The 7,657-nt window shown below is 41.6% G+C and overlaps 1 annotated feature.

The window, feature by feature from the left end:
• Nucleotides 5,412-5,501: an enhancer, noted in NCBI's record as "active region_21348". NCBI's record gives its function as "activates an Ori minimal core promoter by ATAC-STARR-seq in GM12878 lymphoblastoid cells {active_cell/tissue: GM12878}" and the evidence as "EXISTENCE:reporter gene assay evidence [ECO:0000049][PMID:35858748]".

Here is a 7,657-nt window from a genome sequence, read left to right on the forward strand (position 1 = left end):
AACAAAATTGATTTGCCACATCAGAAAACTGATTTACAAGTCCTCTACGGCAGCCCTAATGCCAACAAATCAAATGCCAGATTTACAAATCCTCCGAAATGCACAATAAATGCCAAATAAAAACTTTCAATTTACCAATCTTTATTTGTAGGAAGCATAAATCAGAAATGGGATGGAATGGCTCCTGGCATTATTACGATTAAGTTTTGAAGTCCAGATTTTTTTTTACTTTACATTTCCTTTCAAATTTGATCTTCTCTTTATGAGTGGACTTCTGGTTTTAATGACTGTGTAAAAATAATAGCCTTAGTTGCAGCTTAGAAAAGATGTTAGGCCAATGGAGGCTTCAGTTGGATATTAAAGCCCACAGTATTTTTAATTTGGGGAATCAGCAAGGCCTTTGGGGGTCATTTCTGGCCAGTGTTTTATTCGCCAAGAGGGTTTGCTGGACACAGGCCTTGTGTAGCCAGGAAAGGCCCTAAACATCCCAACCCAAAGTCTTTTACCTTATTTGGTTTGTTTTTTAGTGGCATTTAATACTCTCTCCAATTTATCATGAGGCTTGACTTTAAGATGCTTTTTTTCAGAGAAGTCTCAATCTTTGGCTCAGAAGCCTTTGAAGACCTGACTTCTGCCCAAGACAAACAGAAAACATTAGAAGTGATGGGTGCTCTTTGGCAATTGTCAGCTCTAGGTAGTGATGAGGAAGGTATTGTGTCTGGGGATCATGGTGCTGGAGCTTTGAACATTTCTGCCTTTGTTCTTTTCATCATTAACAATGGCTAACACCACCGCATATCGGTTGATACGGTTTGGCTGTGTCCCCACCCAAATCTCATCTTGAATTGTACCTCCCATAATTCCCATGTGTTGTGGGAAGGACGCGGTGGGAGATAATTGAATCATGGGCATGGTTTCCCTCATATTGTTCTCCTGGTAGTGAATAAGTCTCATGAGATCTGATGGTTTTATAAGGGGAAACCCCTTTCATTTGGCTCCCCTTATCTCTTGTCTGCTGCCATGTAATATGTGCCTTTCATCTTCTGCGATGATTGTGAGGCCTCCCCAGCCATATGAAACTGAGTCAATTAAACCTCTTTTTCTTTATAAAGTACCCAGTCTTGGGTATATCTTTATCAGCAGCATGAAAACGGACTAATACATTGGTAATCACCATGATACATGGCAACCTATGATATCAATAAATACTGTTAAAAGGAAAGAAAGTGCCAGACAAAAGAGAAATGACGAGCTCAAAGCAGGCCTTCTCTAAGCTGTCATCTTAGGTAGCTCACAGTTAAAAGCACATAATCTCATGGCAGAGGGATCACGAAGAGCACCTAACCCGGCTTCTTTGCCTGTATGTCTATGTCCCCATCAACTACGCAGTGGTGGGGGAAAGGAGCAGCTTCGGGTGAGACTGAGAGACATGAAGGGGCAATTGAAGCATTGGGATTCTTGGGGTGAGGGAGGAGCCATACAGGGGTGCAGAGAAGGGAAGGTGTCAACAGGCAAGGCAGGAGGTGTGTTCGGAGCAGTGGGCACCATCCTCTCTAGGATGAAGATCCCTCCCTTTGGTAAGGGGGTCAGGGGACACTTCTATCTAAAAAAAAAAAAAAAAAAGAATCAGAAGAAAGAAAAGAAAAAAAAAGAAACTTAGAGCGATGTCTCTTTATTCAGAAATCTTAATAAAAATTTTAAAAGCCTATAAAATATACATATAATCTGTTCCATCTAAAGTTAATCCTTGTATGAACTCCCTATTAAAGGACCTTTTGGTAAGGGGGTGAGAGGACCCTTCTATCTAAGAAAAAAAAAAAAAAAGAAACCTACAGCAATTTCTCTACAATGCAGAAATCGAAATAAAAATTTTAAAAGCCTATAAAATATACAGATAACCTGTTCCATCCAAAGATAATCCTCGTACGAACCCCCTATTAACAGACTATACATAGTAATGGAATATAACATTATATATGATATTATCATATCATACGCCACCACAAAAGAAAAGTTGTTTTGTTAGTGTTTATTGATTGTGAAAATTCAAAGTGACAAACAGTGAGGAGTTTGAGACCAGCCTGGCCTACATGGTGAAAACCCATCTCTACTAAAAACAAAAAAATTAGCTGGGTGTGGTGGCACACGCCTGTGTGGGAGGCTGAGGCAGGAGAATTGCTTGAACCCGGGAGGTGAAGGTTACGGTGAGCTGAGATCACGCCACCACATTCTAGCCTGGGTGATAGAGTGAGACTCCATTTCAAATAAAAAAAAAAAACAAAACTACAATGACAAGCAGCCATGAATTGAGCATCAGTGCACATTTGGAGTGTAGTTATGCACGGCTCTAAGGAGTTTAGGCTATAGATCAAGTTTTGTGCACATCTTCTTACCTTGTAATATCTCCCCTCCCTTAACCCATCCTACAAGCACTCAGTTATTCCACTCACACAATCCAGTGCTGTGCCAGCAATACATGAGTGAAATCATTTAATACAAATATTTCCCATGCATCTACTATGTTTAAGGCATTTTGCCCAGATGCTGGGAATGTACTTGTAGGGAAAAAAAATCCGAGCAAAATACCTGTGTTCCTGGAGCTTGTATTATAGTGGGGAAAACGTCACTCAGTTGTGAGATGTTTCACATGTGATTTTTGCTAAAAATAATTATTACAAGTAATGGCAAAACCACAGTGACTTTTGAACCAATCTAACAATTTAAAATATTTGCAATTTATTTATTTATTTATTTATTTATTTATTTATTTTTGAGACAGAGTTTTGCTCTTCTTACCCAGGCTGGAGTGTTGTGGTGCAATCACGGCTCACTGCAACCTCTACCTCCCACTTTATTTCTTTGGTAACACAACTCTCACTGCCATTTTGAGTTTGCTACCTTGGGTGAGAAAGGAGGAGATGGAGTTATGGTTACCATTTAGGAAAATGTAGATAATAACCCTGTGCTTTTCCAAGGTAGAGTATCACATATAGGAACATTCTGTATATAACTCTCTGTTATAACTGACCAGAAAAGAAGCAAGGATCACTGCTTTGTGGAATTAATCATAATGGGTTGTTCTGTGGGCAGACATGGTACCCACAGAATGAGCCATGGACCTTCTGCAAATACCTACTGTTGCAGTTTCTGAAAGTAAAATGATCTTTACTGGTATTGAGGAAGGAGAAAATGAACAGATATGACCAAGCAGGACTCTAGAAAGCACAGCAAACCTTCATGAGGGTGTCTCTGTGCTTGGCTCCAGAATACATATACATATCACCTCTCCCCATACCTGATGGGAGCTTCTGACTGAGGGAAAAAAAGAAAGTTGGCTGAGTAATCCACAGACACAGTACAATATGTCCAGCTCACAGTTGAATCAACTGTTAGTAGAAGGGACAATAATCACTTTGCAGAGTCTCACGAAGGGGGTGACTACTGTAGAGTAAAAATGGTCTGTCCAGCAAAGAAGGAAGTGAAAGAGCATAATTCCAGTAGAAGGAACTGTATATGCAAAGGCACAGAGCCTAAGGGATCACGATATGTGAAGGGTGCAAAATCCCTGGAGCCCGGAGAACCAACTGGAGTAAGATACAAGGCCAGAAAGGTGATCTGGGGCCAGATCAAGAAGACCTAAGGCTATCTCATCTTGGGATTTAATCCTGAGGGCTAGTGCTCCCAAAAAAGAGCATGTTACCCTTGTTGGCATAGCAGATCATTTTAGAAACATTTAAAAATCATTGTTTACTTATTTTAATTTTCCTTCATGTTCAATGAAGAAAAAGCAACACATCAAAACTGAAATGTAATGAAAATTATTGCTTAGGACAAGGGCAAGTTTAAAATAAGAGTACATTTAAAGAAAATATTAAAGAAAGCATTGTAAAGATGGTACATGATACAGCTAAAAATATTGTAAAATGTGGAGGCAAATAGTGAATGTTTGAGAAATAATCCTGCTAGAGTTAGACAGGTGAGCAACCGGAATGACATGACTAGGTCTGCAGGGTGTTGTTGTGCACTGTGATTTGCCTTCCAAAGATCACCCAAGCACCAGAGCGGAGGTTGCACTAAGGTAAGTAGAGGACAGTCTGGAACTCTGATTTGGGAGACCAAAGAGTAATCCCAGAAAAAGACCTTGAAGACTGGAACTACAGCAGTGACAGTGTTGATAGTGACGGAAGGACACATTCAAATATGCTCCCCCTGCTTCCTTTCAAAGTAGAGCACAGCCTGGCACACAGGCAGGAAATGAGAAGGAGAGATGGCTTTTCCCCAGATTATTATCATTTATGCTTCCTTTCCCAATGACTGGTATTAGAATTATAACGTCGCGTGATAGTGATGTTTTCTCCTGGTGTCCGGAAGCTGCAATCTAAGTGCTCATAAACATCTTTGGGAATGGATGAACAGAGAGTATGAAAATGGACTTTCTGATTTAGTCATTACAGCATCTGTGCTGAACTGTCAGCCACCTGCAACTGGCCACATGCAAGGAAATGCCACTTTGAAGTTCACAGTCACCATCAAATATAAAAAAGAAGACAATTTATACCAGGTGGGTTGATGATTGTTTCAATCCCCAAATTTTCCTCCTTGGTGTTCATCTTTATTCTCTCTCCTATCAGCACCCCAACTTTCCTCCAAAAGCCACCCTTTCTCCACTTTAATCCCTGAGTTTAGGTGGTCTTAACACCCTCCCTTGCCTTTGAGGTGGACACAAATCTCAGGTTTGGCCTGGTTCACAAATAGGCACTTGGTACAATCTCAGTAAAGAAGATTCAATCAGCACTATGTGCTGGGACTATTTGATAAGGAAGCACTTTGTCCATTCCTGATATTCAGACCTGAAGTTCAGGAGGGCCACTACAGGGAAGGAGAATGACCCTCATCCAGAAAGAAATGGACCTTTGGGAGGTAAAGACTCTATATCCTCATGGCAATTTTTAGCCTTTTGGATATGGTTTTTCTCCCTAGACTTTTCAGTTTTGTGAGAAAATATTCCCCTCTTTTTTCCCCTCAGGGCAATTTGAGTTGGGTGTCTATCACCTACAAACTAAATGTCAGTGCACAGTCAAGCCCAGCTTAGTAAATCAGCATGTAACTGGGATGGGATGGGGGAACAACAGTGAAAAGGAGGCAAGCACTGCCAGGAAGAGGCCAAGGGGCTCATTCTGATTCATCTCTAAAAATTTAATGAGGACTTGCTATGTGAAAGGAAGTGTATTGGACAAGGTCGGGTAGGGAGTAGGAATGTAAAGACTTAAGAAAATGGTCTGTGTCCTTAAAATTATTATCCTCCCTTCAGGTTGGAGTGTTACCAGTGTAAAGCTTACAGGGCATAGGTGAGTTTCTACCCTGCCCTAACTCTACTGACCTTTAGGAAACAGGATGCCTGTGGTCAGAAGTTCCCCTTCGTGGCCAAACCAGTCAAGACTTGTGAGATCTAAGACAGCAGCTCTCTTGACCTAAGAAGAACCTCTAACTTTGTTATAACCTAATTTCCATGCTAAATGACACTCCCATAGTACCATGACAGCTGACAATCACCATGACACTGACCAGAAGAAACTATAAAAAGACAAAAAGGAAAGCAGTACTCTGGTTCCCAGAAGTTGTCTGCCCATTACCAGAAAAGATATGAATATCCCTCCCCTTGTTTTTAATGCCCAGCCCTTTCACTAAATATGTCCTATATTTCTGGCTTCCCAGCTCTCATGAGCTGAAAGGTTGATTTGGGAGCTGAGCTCCTGCCTCTCAATTCCATGGCTGTGGAATAAAATCTCTATCACTCAATGCTCACTTTCAGTTTTGCATATTGGCTTCACAGCACTGAAAAGGGAAATATCCCATTTTGGGGAGGACTGGCTTCGTTGGTAACAAGAGAAAGGTCGTGTTACCTCTGGACCTTGCCTCTACCAAAGCACGCTCCACTGCCACCTTCTCTCTTACTCTCTACATGAGATGCTATCTCCAGTCTCATTGAGGAAGTCCACACCGTCAACCAAAAGCTCCCCTAACATCCTTCACGTTGTATGAAGGATGCATTGTATCCTGCATTGTATGGAAGGTTTTAGAGCAGGGAGTGCTGCAATCAGATCTCTGCTTTTTGAAAAGTCACTTTTGAGACTTAATTTTGGCATAAAGCATTGTATGAATTTCCTGATGACTATTTTTTTTCCATTTCTGGGCAAAATTAGCACTCAGGAAATTATTTTTCTATGTATATGTATAAAATTATTTTTGTGTGACATGTTAAAAACCCTAAAACTGAAAGGGCAACATGCAGTTTGAATGAACTATGATGACCATTCTCACAGCCTTTCCTCTCCTTGTAGCCTCTTTCCTACTGTGCTTGTCCTTCTGACAATTGCACTTTGAGTGTGACATGAAACATTTGGAAGGAAAGAAAAAACAAAAAGGAGGTAAAAGGAAGGAAAAGGTGGGAGAGAGAGAAGGAGCAAGGGAAGAAAGGAGGGAGGCAGGGAGGAAGGGAGAGAAGGAGGGAGGGAGGGAGGAAAGGAAGGAAGGAAGGAAGGAAGGAAGGAAGGAAGGAAGGAAGGAAGGAAGGAAAGAAAGAAGGAAGGAAGGAAGGAAGATTGGCAGCCTCTTGGAGTTTGTTGGCATGGAAACACAATGTTTCTCTGAACAAAGCCTCCTGCACAATTGCAATGCTACTATGTATCAATCCCACAAAATAACCACTGGCCAGCAATCACAAAGTATTACCAAAGAAATGCAGGCTGAAGGGGAGCCTGGATACAAAGGGCAAATATGCCCTGAAAAGTCACAGAGAAGTATCTAGGGCTGGAAGTTGAAGTCAGGAAGCTGAGTCCCAGCTCTGCAGAGCTGGAGGAGGCTGCTGTTATGTTTCTCTCCTCCTGCTTAGCCAGCAGAAATCAGATCATTTGCAGATCTTGCCTGCCCTTCTCTTTTGGAGTAAGAGATGTATGGCCATTTGTTATTTCTGCATGTGCTGAGGACTCTTCTCCCTCCCACCTCCTAAATGGAACGACGGAGTCTGTAAGTGCAGCAAGAATCCAGCATGCAAAGCATCAACACTATGGATCCCTTCTTGCTTTTTTGCTGCGCGCCCCCTTCTTCCTGCCTTAGGAAACCTTATCTTTATCCTCCTTTGCCCAGCTGCCGGATTCTTAGTGTGGCTTTTCAAACTGAAGGACACATATTTATGGCTCTTCCTCTGAAATTAAAATCCAGGATAGGTTACGCATATGGGGAAAGGAGGGGTCCTTCAATCTTGAACATGCTGCCAAGCGAGTCAGCACACAGGCTGGCTTGAGGGAGACAGAAATATCTGTAACAAACAAAAGCCAGGAAATAAAATCATGATGCTTGCAATACTTATCAAAATGATGACCACCACAGGAATCTAACATGGGCAACCCCACACTTTGGGCAGGGCAAAGGAGATGTGTTTCCATAAACAACAATATACAGTTGCCACCTTGAATGCTTTCTTTTGGAAGTAGGAATGTATAAGTTGTAAATTAGGATTAAACTCAAATTCACATCCGCCTTTATAAAGACCCTATAGCAAAACTGATATGTGAGCCTAGACAAAAGAAGGTACTGGATCCCTATAGACTCTGGCAACCCCTGGGAATGGAGTGCATTGTCCTCTAAGGATGTGTCA

The sequence above is a fragment of the Homo sapiens genome, chromosome 4 (assembly GCF_000001405.40).
Source record: "Homo sapiens chromosome 4, GRCh38.p14 Primary Assembly".
Lineage (NCBI taxonomy): Eukaryota > Metazoa > Chordata > Mammalia > Primates > Hominidae > Homo > Homo sapiens.